Genomic DNA, 14,095 nt, shown 5'->3' with positions numbered 1-14,095 from the left:
TCTCACCTTCACAATGCTGGATTAGTTCTCACAGGAATCAATTAGCTCTTTCAGGAACAGGTTGGCTTCTTCACACGTGTTTGCTTTCCCTCTGACTTTCTACCCTGTTATGGTGCAGCAGAAAACCCCTCACCAGAAGCCAGCACCATGCCTTTGAACTTCCCAGCCTGAAGAACCATAAGCCAAATAAACTTCTTTTCTTTATAAATTATCCAGCCTCAGATATTTTGTTATAATAAAACAAAATGGACTAAGACCAAAAATTGATACTGAGGAGTGGGGTGTTGTCATAAAGATACCTAAAAATGGGGAATTTCAGTAATGGGCAGAGGTTGGAAGAGTTTGGAGGAGTAAGCTAGGAAAAGTCTGTGTTGCTGTGAATGGAATATTAAGGGGGTTCTGGTGAGGGCTCAGAAGAATACAAAGATGCAGGAGAGTTTGAAACTTCTTAGACATTGGTTAAGTGGCTGGGACCAAAATGTTGATAGAAATATGGACAATAAAGGCCATTCTGATAATGTCTCTGATGGAAATAAAGAACAAGGTATTGGGAACTAGAGAAAAGGCCATCCTTGTTACACTTTGCTTGTTAAAGCAAAGAATTTGACTGCATTGTACACATGTTCCAGGGTTTTGTGGAAGGCCAAACTTAAGAGCAATGTAATAGCATATCTGGCAGAAGAAATTTCTAAGAAGCATAGTGCTCAGGCTGCTGCATGGTTATTTCTTACTGCTTACAGTGAGCTGCTAAAAAAAGGAAAGCAGAGTAAAAAGATATGGAAGATTTATGGTGTGTCCATGTGGTAGAGAATAAAAGAACATTTTCAGAAGAGGAATCCAAGGGTGCAGCTGGAGCCACTAGTTGCTAAAGAGATTAGCACTGATTAAAAAAAAAAAAAAAAGTTGCCAATCCTCAAGACAATAGGAAAAAGACCCTATAGGTATTTTTGAAATCTTTGAGGCCATCTCTCCCATCACAGACCCAGAGATCTTGGAGGAGAGAATGGTTTTGGGAGGAAACCCAGGGCACCACTGTTCTGTGGTGCCTCAGGCTGCAATCTAGCTAGGTGCCCTGCAATCTAGCTGCTCCAGTTGGAGCAGCCATGGCTCAAACAGCCCTAGGTATGGCTCAGGCTACCACTCTGGAGGGTGCAAGTGTAAGCCTTGGTGGTATCCACGTCTACATGATGTTAATTCTGCAGGCCCACAGAATGCAAGAGCTGTGGAGATGCGGCTTTCTCCACTGAGATTTCAAAGGATATATGAAAAAGCCTGCGGGCCCAGGAAAAGCCTTGTCACAGGGGTACAGCCACTGCACAGAGCCTCTACTCAGGGACTGCCTGAGTAGCCCCACAAGAAATGTGGGGTTGAAAATGCCACAAAGAGTCCCCACTGGGGCAATGCCTAGTGAAACCACAGGGCTAAGCTGCTGCTGGGACACCAGAATTTTAGAGCCACCAGCAGCATGCATGCAACCTAAGCCAGAAAAAGCTGCAGGCAGTCAACTCCAACCTATGAGAACAATCATGTGGGCTGCATCCAGTAAAAAAATGGGGCTGGATCCTTCATGAATAGATTAATGACACCTTGTGAGGGTCAGTGAGTTCTCACTCTTGTGGGGAATAGGTGTATTCCCAGGAAAGTAGGTTGTTAAGAAGCATCTGGCTTCCTCAGTTTCTCACTCTTTCTCCTGCTCTTCACATGTGATCTCTTTGCATGCACCCACTCACCTTCTACTTTCTGTCATGAATTGAAGCAGCATGAGGCCCTTACCAGATGCAGCTGCCTAATCTTGAACTTTCCAGCCACCAGAATCATGAGCCAAATAAACATCTTTTCTTTATAAATTACCCAGCTTCAGATATTCTGTTATAACAACACTAAATGGACCGAGACAAACTAAGTTATATCATGGTGAATGCTTTTGGTTGCAAGAAATGGAAGCTGCAACTTAAATAATAAGAAATTTATTCTTGTTTTTGCCAAATGTAAGACACCAATTGTAACACACATCATTATTTTATGAAGTACTACAAAAAACATGTCAATTAAACTGACACAGTGCTCTCTAACAACTTAAAATTTTATTTTATACCTATTGCAAGATAATTGAAAAATGTATTTAGATGTATATTTTATATATCACATATATATTACAAATACATATATATACACCACCATAAATCAAAATATGTTGCTTCGTGGTTTTAAAATGTCTTCACTTTCAGAGTCTGACTCTTCAAACTCACTTTTAAAATTCAGAGCCATAAATATTCATGCTTTTTCCTCCCAATATCATCCTCTGTAATATCAAAAGTATTGGTGATGCAACATTTCTTAAAAGATTGACCTACTATTGCCACTTGGATTTCTTTCTAAGCACAGACGATTATTATGCAAATTTTTTTTTTTTTTTTTTTTTTTTTTTTTTTTTTTTTTGAGACGGAGTCTCGCTCTGTCGCCCAGGCTGGAGTGCAGTGGCGGGATCTCGGCTCACTGCAAGCTCCGCCTCCCAGGTTCATGCCATTCTCCTGCCTCAGCCTCCCAAGTAGCTGGGACTACAGGCGCCCGCCACTACGCCCGGCTAATTTTTTGTATTTTTAGTAGAGACGGGGTTTCACCGTTTTAGCCGGGATGGTCTCGATCTCCTGACCTCGTGATCCGCCCGCCTCGGCCTCCCAAAGTGCTGGGATTACAGGCGTGAGCCACCGCGCCCGGCCTATTACGCAAATTTTGATGCTGATACTTTCTTTGTCTTTTCAGAAGATGTCATTGGAAAGTTTTCAGACAGAAAGCAGTATTTCTTACCCTAATAATCTTCAATGGTTTGTCGACTGAACTGTCAAAGGGCTGCAGTTGTCAGTCATATCACAGAGAATAGCAATCAAGTTGACACATGCATAGGCAATGACACCTATGTAAGGATATTACATATTACAGTGATGGTAAGATATTACCATGGCAAAATATGTTCTGATTTCAGAGATGTTGAACTAACAAAAGAAAGTGTAACTTAGAATCAACAAAATTACATTTTCTTACTTAACAAGAAATCTGAAGATATCCTGTTTCTGGGCAGGTTAATCCAGTGGCTCAATGTCACCTTTTTGCTCAACCATCCTCAGCGTGGTTTCCTGTGCTCATCTCACTGCTTTCATGGACCCAGAAGGCATCAGAGTTTCAGGTGTCATAAGGAAATATGATACCCAGAGGAACAGGAGAGAGTATGGTGCTCCCAGGTGTCTCTTTTTATTGGCAAGCAAAACAATCTCTTTGGAGAACATTCTAGTCACATAGGAAGAAGAAAAATAATGTATACCATTGTTCAGCTCTATTCCATCACTTTTGCAGAAATTGTCAATTAAAATGTTAACAAGTCTTCAGGTTTGTCAAAAAATATAAGGCAGTTAGATTTTTCTGTGGCATACTCTGACTTTAAAACATGCCGACAATCTGTCAGTTTCCATGCTGTTCCATGTTGCCCACATACAGCTTGGAAATTAAAAGAGCTTCAGTCCCAAGGTATTCAATAGTAGCCTAGGTCTGGGGGAATCCTGAATAGCAACACCTCCAGCAATTTTGCAAATGGAGCCTACATATAGTTCTATGCGTCTGAAGGACTGTGCAATACCAGCGGAGACATAGCTGGCCTCCAAGCAGGGGAAGCAAAATCTATGCTAATGGATCCCTGCCTTTAAAATGGGCAGACTGCTCAGAGATGGAACACTTTATAAAAGCCCCTTGAGGTTTCACTTGGAATTCCTTAAATTAGAATATCATCTGGGGACATTGAACTTGGCAAGGAGTCTTTGAAGGTACCCCTAGAGCAACTAGGAGTCATTCTAGCAGACGGCTCAGGCCCCACCCTCAGTGCCTGCCTTACTTCAGCTCAATAACCACTCTCCTGTGCACCCCCTTCAACTCCATGGCATCCCTGCCAGTCTCTCCCTAAACAACGCCCCTCCCCTGCCCTTGGTACTATCTCCCATCCTCATCAACTGTCACTTTCAGGCTCCAACCCCCTTTCATTTGGGCCTTCACTTGCTTCTCATTTGTGTGTGCCAACAGTTGTAAATTTTGCCTCCTGTTTACTTTAGCCATTCCATCATTACAATTATTCCTATAGTAACTTACGTAGAGATCTGTCCATTTTCCTGAAATCTTAATCTGGCTTCATTGTAGCTGCATAATCTCCGCCACATCCGGAAAAAAACTTGACATGTTCCACAACTAAAAATGAGCAGGTATTGGTTTATGGCCTAAACAGGCAAGGTTTTCATAAATGTGAGTAGCAAAAAGACAAATACCTTCTTTCAAGCATGATTTCCTTCCTTCCTTCTTCCCTCCTTTCCTCATTGCCTCCACTTCCTTCTTTTCTTCATCTCTGTCTTCTTAATGATTATCATATTTTAAATAATGAAAGTATACAAAAAATTTAGGTTTAGACTTAAAAAATAAGAAAAAAAGAATGAAAACCCAAATTACCATGTTTCCACCACCACAAAAATATTACTATGAATATTTTAGTGCACACTCTTGCAGGTTTTTTTTTCTACTTCCACTTTGACTGATTGATTGATATTTTATATTTTGGTGGTTTTATTTTTGTATGGTTGAAATTATCAAGTAGCTTTCTTACATAAAATCAAGTAGTTTTCTTAGATACATATCTATGAAAATTTAGTTGTAAAAATTATAACATTAATAATTATATACAGCATTCAATTAAAGCAAGAATATATTTTCTGCCCTTCTAGACTGTAATGAAAAACAGAAACGTTTTAGTCGCTTGTTTATACTCTCACAGTTCTTCTTCAGTAGTCACTCTATAAAAATTTGCTGAATGAGTGAATATTCCAAAAGATAAAAATTCAGATACAATTAAGTAAGTGCCATTCTCACTAACTTTGAATACTCTTCGGTGTTGCTTAACCTAATTTAGATCTCTTACCTGCTCAGGTTTGAGTAGGAGACTCCACTTTATCCTAAATATATATTGTTTCTTCTTTAAATTAGAATATCATCTGGGGACATTTACACAGCACCAGGATTTTAACCCCTTCACAAGTGTCAAAGCCAGAACCTGGCACATAGTAGGTACTGAAAACATGTTTGTTTGTCTTTGCAGCAGTCATTGTAACTGTTACTCCTCTAGGCAAGAATATCTTGTTTGTTAAGTGTCTTTAGGTATCTGTGCTCTTGTTACTTAATTACCCAGGCTCTCTCCCTGACTCCCAGTGTGAAAAGGAAGGATGATTGAATCCATGTTTCCATTGGATTGAATCCATGTTTCCACTGAATGAAAAGATGTTTAAAACTTGCAGTATTTTCTATTAATAGAATAAACTCCCAAAGCAGAGGGGGAAAAAAAATGATCTTCTCGAAGAAAACACACAGGCATACACACATGCACACACACACAAACACACACACACACACACCACACACTCCTTACAAGAGGTATTTCCATATCCTGAGTGGTTACATTTCATTTCTCTTGTTAAAATAGACACTAAAAATAAGTTGTGTCAAACAATGCTTAGCATTGCAAAACCAAGTGCCCTACAACTTAATTTTTAAAAATCCATCTAAATGGAAATTAATGAGATCTCAAAGAGAAATTAAAATCAATTTTACCTAAGCATTCTTGTTCGGATTTTCTTGAAAGTTCTTAGTTTCAGAATTAGATACCCTTATAGATTTTTCACCAAGTTGTCTACATTTACATATAGCTAAATTTTCTCACATAGACCATGTCGATCAGCAATGAAGAGGTCAGGGAACTGGGCTGGTGATGACACCCTGTTCTCCTCTCCATGGACTGTTTGTTTGCTATTCTATTTAGCTATTGTGTATTCCCCCCATTAAATACGCTAGCAGATACAAAAGTCAGATACGACTTTGCTGTATCTGACAAAGCAGTAACATGCATTTATTTGATCTGCTAATCCCAAAGCTAAAGTGTGAATCTAGTGGGTTTTTAATCAAATCCTCAATATGCTGAGCAGCCAGCCCAGCACATGCAATTCTTTGAGTCATACAAGCCTGCCTTGGTTTGCAGCTACTGCCTCAATTTCACAGAACCATAGAATTTTAGAGCTGGAAGAGACCTTAGATTATTTGTGACTTGACCTCCTAGCCACTTTAAAACCATTGCTCGAAAACATGGTACTCGGTTAACTTTTCTATTGCTAAATCCTTAGGCTCGTTACAGCAAATGAAGCCTCTGTTCTAGATGCTTTTATGGGGAAGCTTGTTAAAAGGGTTGTTTGGAAAGTTTGGGTGAATTTTTGAGCCTTTTACAAACATTGACCAAGAAATTATTTTCTGCAAGTCAGGAAGCTCGGAGGAGAGGAAGAAGGAAAGGAAACCAATCTTTGTTGAGTACCTAATATGTTCCGGGTGACTGACTTACAGTGTCTCTTTTGATACAAGCCTTCAAAGATAGCTATTGTCTCCACGTGAAGAAACTGAGACCCAAAGAGTTTAAAAGTGACTTGATCAACATCTCAGTGAGCAACAAAGCTGAGATTTAAACTCAGGTCTACCAGGCTGCATATAAGGCTCATAATGTTCCTTTTATTATACTACACTGTTTCCCTTGTTTTATTGAAATATCTAAATAGAAAACACCATGGGCCTCCACATGGCTGCATAGGCTTGGTCGACACTCCTCTAGAGGTGAATCTGCAAAGCACCTTGTTCAAATATCTAAAGAAAAGGGGCTCATATTTTCTTGTATTTGGCGACTTGATAACTATACAGATGCTCTTTGACTTACCATGAGGTTACATCCTAACCCATTATTAAGTTGAAAATATCATAAGGTGAAAATGCATTTAAAACAACCAACCTACCAAAAATCACAGCTTAGCCTGGCCTATCTTAAACATTCTCGGAACACTTACATTAGCCTACAGTTGGGCAAAAGCATGTAACACAAGGTCTATTTTATAATAAAGTGTTGCAGATCTCATGCAATTTATTGAATATTATACTAAAAGTGGAAAACCGATTGGATGTATAGGTATTCAAAGTACAGTTTCTATTCTATTTCTAATGCATATTGCTTTTGCACCATTATAAAGTTGAAAAATCCTTAACTCAAATTATCATAAGTCAGGGACCATCTGCAGTTGAATGTGCTTTGTATGGTCGTTCCTTTGCATCATAAAACAATGTTTACCCATTTAGAAGCTGTCTAATGTTGTTCTAGACCCTACCCGAAAATTCTAGGAGTACAAGAAACAAGGCCAACCAAAGGTAGATGCTGAGTTTACACAGAGGTTTCTGATAATGATACCTTCTCACAGGAAGGCAAGTTGATGGCTAGAGAGCTTTCTGGCAACACAGAAATGGGTTTTTTACTGAGGTTCAAGATGGCTCTGAAATCAGTACCATCAACACAGTCTGGCCATTGCTCCACTCCAATTTATACTTAGACAAAAAAAGAGAGTGACATCTTTCCCCTTACCCCAACCTGCTAGAAAGAAAAAGAAAAGAAAAAAAAGACAAAGTTAATGGGATCTCTCCTTTCTGGACCCAGAATCCAGAAACAAACAATAAATATCTTCACATTCTCTTATAGTACTCTGCAAAACTGACGATTACTTGCAATTTTATTTGGACCAGATTCTACCTCATTTCTTTTTGACCCGTTTCTACCTCAAATTGGCACAACCACAATTACAAGGTTCAGTACAGAAAGCTGCCTGGGAAATGCAAAGTGAAGTCAGCCTAGATATTGAAAATACCTAGCCAGTCTCCAAATTTATATTGAAAATCAAAAGTTGGTAGTAAGGTTGAAGTCATTGAGTATGAATTCTGTTCCAATAGTCATTGTCAAATAGACACTTAATCACCGTATTTCTTCAAGCTTACCACTCTGCTAAGATAAAGTCATACCAGAACTAAGATAAAATTCTTACCAGCAAGGGCTCTGCAATACTCACAATAGATTGTGCTCTATCAATGACAAATGATGGTTGCTACCAAGAAAAGGGCTTCTTGTTTATCTTTTTTTTTTTTTTTTTTTTTTTGAGACGGAGTCTCGCTCTGTCGCCCAGGCTGGAGTGCAGTGGCTCGATCTCGGCTCACTGCAAGCTCCGCCTCCCGGGTTCACGCCATTTTCCTGCCTCAGCCTCCCGAGTAGCTGGGACTACAGGCGCCCGCCACCACGCCCGGATAACTTTTTGTATTTGTAGTGGAGACGGGGTTTCACTGTGTTGGCCAGGATGGTCTCGATCTCCTGACCCTGTGATCCGCCCGCCTCCGCCTCCCAAAGTGCTGGGATTACAGGCGTGAACCACCGTGCCCAGCCTTATTTATCTTTTTATCTTCTCATTCTTTGACACCTCCCTTTTCTGTTCTATTTAAGTCCCTGGCTCACCCTAGGCTGCCTCCTCCCTGGCTTAGCACCACCTGACTCTGGACCACTCCAAACCCTCATCTTTGCCCACATGCCTGCTTTAGTTCTGCCTATCCCTGGAAAGATGAACATCTTCCCTTTTCACCCAGTGAGAGGGTACAGTGGACACTTAGCAGTCTCTACTTCTGGGATCCAGTGCTCACTATCGGTGAAAGGGTGACTCTTTTACTGAGATAGGTAACTCACTTTACTAAGGATTACTGACTTTTCTTCAATCCTTTTAACTTCTTTCTCAATACATCCAACTAAAGTCAGATCACATGATTAAAAAACCTGGGGTGTATAGCTGGTAAGCAGTAATTTGTTTTTCCTCACCCTTTGGAAGTGTTTCTTGTTGATGGTTTTCACTCAGTTACCCAAATAATAAGTGTTCCTCTTATGCAACGGATGCAACAAGCTGAGGAGATTCTGTGCTCACACAGTAGCAGGCATGGTCTTAATCAGAAAATATTCAGCTTATGTTTTTAGTTAGCTACAGAAGATGAAGTCGAGAAATTCAAGAAATATGTTGAATGCCAGATAAGAAAAACCATTAATTAGGGGGAGAGAGAGAATTTCTTTTTAAACATTCTTGCTAAATCATTTTGACTCTGAAATAAAAGCAGACCACTAGAATATGGAAATATTCAAATTTGTGGTTTTATTAGGGTATATTTAGATTTTTCAAACAGTAGGCTATTTTTTCAAAGTTCTTGACTCAGCAAAGTAGGAATGCACTTGGCCAACCACTTTTTCCTTCTCCAATTTAGACCCATTTGTGTTACAAATGGAAATTTAATCTATACATTTATGATTCATTTGTGCTTAACTTGTCAAAATGTTAAGAGCTGTTTGAAATAAAAGAAGTCTTTGGATTCTGATGCTTATGTAAGTTTTTTCTCCTCAGACTCAGAAAGCTGTACTTCTGCAGAGAATCAACAATCTGATACCGTATAGGCATATACATCATATATGAGAAATTGCAGAGCTCAAGTAGATCACAGATCTTTTGCTGTTACTTTGAATTTCAATCTACAGGTGTACATATACGAGCCTTCGATTTAATTTTTTAATTAAATTAAAAATTAATAAATTTAATTTTTTTCAAGCAAATCATGTAAATAGTGATTTTTCTTATATGAAGTTCCTAACTTATTATTTTCCCTGCAGGATCACTGTGCAATGTTGTTCAAGTTGTGTACTGCACAAATCTGGGGACCACCATTCTGAAAAACAGCACAATCATTCATAGTGTGTCTATTTTCATGCATTCTTAACTCTTGTTTTCGTCAACTCAAATTCAGGCAAGAGCATCATCTAAGAATATCACCAAACTGCAATATCTTATTGACTAGACCAAAATTTTTACTTTGATTTGCCAAATTTGCAAGAACTCACGGGGGCTTCACACATATTATTCTACCTTGCTTAGTGCCTGGTAAATTTATAATCAGGCTTTGGGTGTAATTCAGTTAAATACTAGATTTTTCTTTGGAGAAATTCCTTTACCTCTTGGAATCTTTATGTCTCCAGAAGAAAAATCTGGATAACTTTATCTACCTCAGAGAATGTTAGTTGTGTGGAGTTAGCTAATATGCCAAGATAGGGTTACCTTAAGTGATCAGTTTGAATGGCCCACAGAGTAAGGGATATGGTTTGGATCTATGTTCCTACCCAAATCTCATGTTAAACTGTAATCCCCAATATTGGAGGTGGGGCCTAGTGGGAGGTGATTGGATCAGGGGGGTGGATTTTCCTTTTGGTACTATGTTGCAATAGTGAGTGAGTTCTCATGAGATCTGGTTGTTTAAAAGCATGTAGCACCTCCCCACTCCCCATTACCAGAAAGGGGTCCCAATCGAGACCCCAAGAGAGGGTTCTTGGATCTCACCCAAGAAAGACTTTGGGGCAAGTCCATAGAGTAAAGTGAAAGCTAGTTTACTAAGAAAGTAAAAGTATAAAAGAATGCCTACTCCATAGGCAGAGCTGTGGCTTGAGCTTCTGGCTTAAGGATGCTTATAGTTATCTTTTGATTATATGCTAAACAAGGGGTGGATTATTCACAAGTTTTCTGGGAAAGGGATGGGCCATTCCCGGAGATGATGGTTCCTCCCTTTTTTAGACTATATAGGGTAATTTCAGATGTTGCCATGGCATCCGTAAACTGTTGTGGTGCTGGTGGGAGTGTCTTTTATCAAGCTAATGCATTATAATTAGCGTATAATGAGCAGTAAGGACGACCAGAGGTCACTCTCATCACCATCTTGGTTTTGGTGGGTTTTGGCTGGCTTCCTTACTGCAACCCGTTTTATCAGCAAGGTCTTTATGACCTGTATCTTGTGCCAACCTTCTATCTCATCCTGTGACTAAGAATGCCTAACCTCCCAGGAATGCAGCTCAATAAGTCTCAGCCTTATTTTACCCAGTCCCTATTAAAGATGAAGTTGCTCTGGTTCAAACACCTCTGAAATCTCACCTTTCATGCTCCTGCTTTGGCCATGTAAGATCTGCCTATTTCTCCTTCTCCTTCTGCCATGACTGCAAGTTTCCTGAAGCCTCCCCAGAAGCTGAAGCCAGTATATTTTCTGTACAGCCTGCAAAACTATAAGCCAATTAAATCTCTTTTCTTTATAAATTACCCAGTCTCAGGTATTTCTTTATAGCAGTGTGAGAACGGGCTAATACAGATTTTGGTTCCAAGGAGTGGGGCATTGTTATAAAGATACCTGAAAATGTAGAAGCAGTTTTATAACTGGATAATGGGAAGAGGTTGGAACAGTTTGGAGGGCTGAGAAAACAGGAAGATGATGGAAAGTTTGGAACTTCCAAGAGACTTCTTAAATTGCTGTAATCAAAATGCTGATAGTGATATGGACAATGAAGTCCAGGCTGAGAAGTTCTCAGATAGAAATGAGAAACTTATTGGGAGCTGGAACAAAGGTCACTTTTGTTATGTTTTAGCAAAGAATTTGGAGGCATTATGACCCTACCCCAAGGATCTGTGAAACTTTGAACTTGAGAGAGATGATTTGGGATATCTGGCAGAAGAAATTTCTAAGCAGCACAGCATTCAGATGTCACCTGGCTACTTCTAACAACCTATGCTCATATACATAAGCAAATAAATTACCTGAAATTGGAACTTATATTTAAAAAAAAAAAAAGCATAGCATGCAAGTTTGGAAATTTTGCAGCCTGGCCATGTGTTAGGAAAGTTTGGTACTATGTTGCAACAGTAGTAGCTCATTTTCAGGGGAGAAATTCGAGCAGGCTGCAGAAATTTGTATAACTAAAGGGAAGGCAAATGCTAATAGCCAAGACAATGAGGAAAAAGCCTTGAAGCCATTTTAGAGAACTTCATGGCAGCTCCTCCCATCACAGGCCCAGAGCCCTAACAGGATTGAATGGTTTCCTGGACAGGCCAAGGGCCCCACTGCCCTTTGCAGCCTCAGAACACAGCTTCCTACATCCCAGTTGCTACAACTCCAGCCATGGCTAAAAGTGGCCAAGGTACAGCTTGGGCCCCTGCTTCAGAGGATGCAAGTCATAAGCCTAGTTGGCTTCCATGTGGTGTTAAGCCTGTGGGTGCACAAAGTGCAAGAGTTGAGGCTTGGGAGCCTCCACCTAGATTTCAGAGGATGTATGGAAATGCCAGAACGTCTAGGCAGAAGCCTGCTGCAAGAGTGGAGCCCTCATGGAAAACCTCTACTAGGGCAGTGCAGAGGAAAAATGTGGGGTTGGGTCCCCCACACAAAGTCCCCACTGGGACACTTCTTAATGGAGCTATGAGAAAATGGCCACCATCCTCCAGACCCCATAATGACAGATCCACCAACAGCTTGCACCTTGCACCTGGAGAAGCCACAGACACTCAATATCAGCCCTTGAGAGCAGCCTCAGGGGCTGAACCCTACAAAGCCAAAGGCATAGAGCTGCAGAAGGCTCTGGGAGCCTACCCCTCACACCAGTGTGCTCTGGATGTGGAGCATGGAAGTCAAAGGAGATGATTTTGGTGCTTTTAGATTTAATGATTGCCCTGCTGGGTCCCTTTCTTTTGGCCAATTTATCCCTTTTGGAATGGGAGTATTTACCCAATGCTTGTACCCCAATTGTATCTTGGGAGTAAGTAACTTGTTTTTAATTTTATAGGCTCATAGGCAGAAGGGACTTGTCTCACATAAAACTTTGAACTGTGGACTTTTGAGTAAGTGATGAAATGAGCTAAGGCTTTGGGGAATTTTGGGGGAATACATTATTGGGTAAATATGATTGTATTTTGAAATGTGAGAAGGACATGAGATTTGGGAGGGGCTGGGGCAGAATGATATGGTTTGGATCTGTGACCCTGCCCAAATCTCATGTTGAATTGTAATCCTCCCTATTGTTTGAGGTGGGGCCTGGTGGGAGGTGATTGGATCATGGGGGCGGATTTTCCTCTTGGTACTATGTTGCAATGGTGAGGGAGTTCTCATGAGATCTAGTTGTTTAAAAGTATATAGGCTCTCCCCTACCCTCTTGCTCCTGCTCTGGCCATGTAAGATGTGCTTGCTTCTCCTTCACCTTCTGCCATGATTATAAATTTCCTGAGGCCTCCCCAAAAGCAGAAGCCTCTATGCTTCCTGTACAGACTATAGAACTATGAGCCAATTAAACCTCTATCCTTTATAAATTATCCAGTCTCGGATATTTCTTTATAGCAGTGCAAGAATAGACTAATACAGTAAGTCACAGAGAATGAGGAAGGGGTCTGTGTGTGGAACTGTCAGGTAGAAGGAGGGGGTAGGTCAGAAACTCTTTGGAGATGGTCAATTGGTGTAGCAAAACTGGGCTGACTGATGGTGGAATAGAGACTGGTGTTAGGTCAGGGTAAAGTGATCGAGGACAGGACCAGATACCAGTGAGTAAAATAAGAGCTGTGAATGCTGAGGGGCTGCAGGGCTTTCCTTCCACACGAGACCTAGCTTGCCTTGCTGAACTGGTGGCAGACTTGTTAAAAAGGTGGAATAAAGGAAGACAATTATAAGAGTTAAAGAATATGATGCTTTTAATATTCCCTGCATAGTGCTTGAACTTAACAAGAGATCAACAGATGTTAATTCCCTTTAGCCATTTGTAGGGCATAGATTCATTTCACTGGGGGTAGTGAGATGGGGGGGGACCATTATGGAGGACCTAATTCATGAACACAATGGGCATGTGCTGGGTATTTCGGTCTTCCCTACATTGTTTCATTTGGGAATCTGCCTTGCCTCACTTAGTCTGGAGGACTCTAGAGGACCTCACAATCATGTGATCCTGCATTGACAACCACAGTAGAAGAAACATAATCTAAGCTGACCAGCATATCCTTTCTCAGTGGATACAGATTGGTCTAATAGCGGGCATGACCCAAGCAGGGCCACTCAGAGTACTTTTTCAGCAACTAATTGGATGCTGAGAGAGAAAGTATCTCTGCTTCTGAGAGAGGCCCCACCTGTTAGGGTCCAAATTAAAGTTTGAAAGCAAAGTCTCTAGATTTAGAGAAAGACAGATATCACTGGATTCTATTGTGCCTGAAGCCCTAGACTTTTCAGTTATATAAACAATTCATTCTCTTCTTTTGCTTAAATTAATTTAAATTAGGTATCTCTCCCTTATAACCAACAGATCTGACAACTCTGTAGGGATTATCCTTGGATATTAAACTTT

The sequence above is a fragment of the Homo sapiens genome, chromosome 3 (assembly GCF_000001405.40).
Source record: "Homo sapiens chromosome 3, GRCh38.p14 Primary Assembly".
Taxonomy (NCBI): Eukaryota; Metazoa; Chordata; class Mammalia; order Primates; family Hominidae; genus Homo; species Homo sapiens.
This window is presented reverse-complemented; position numbering follows the sequence as displayed.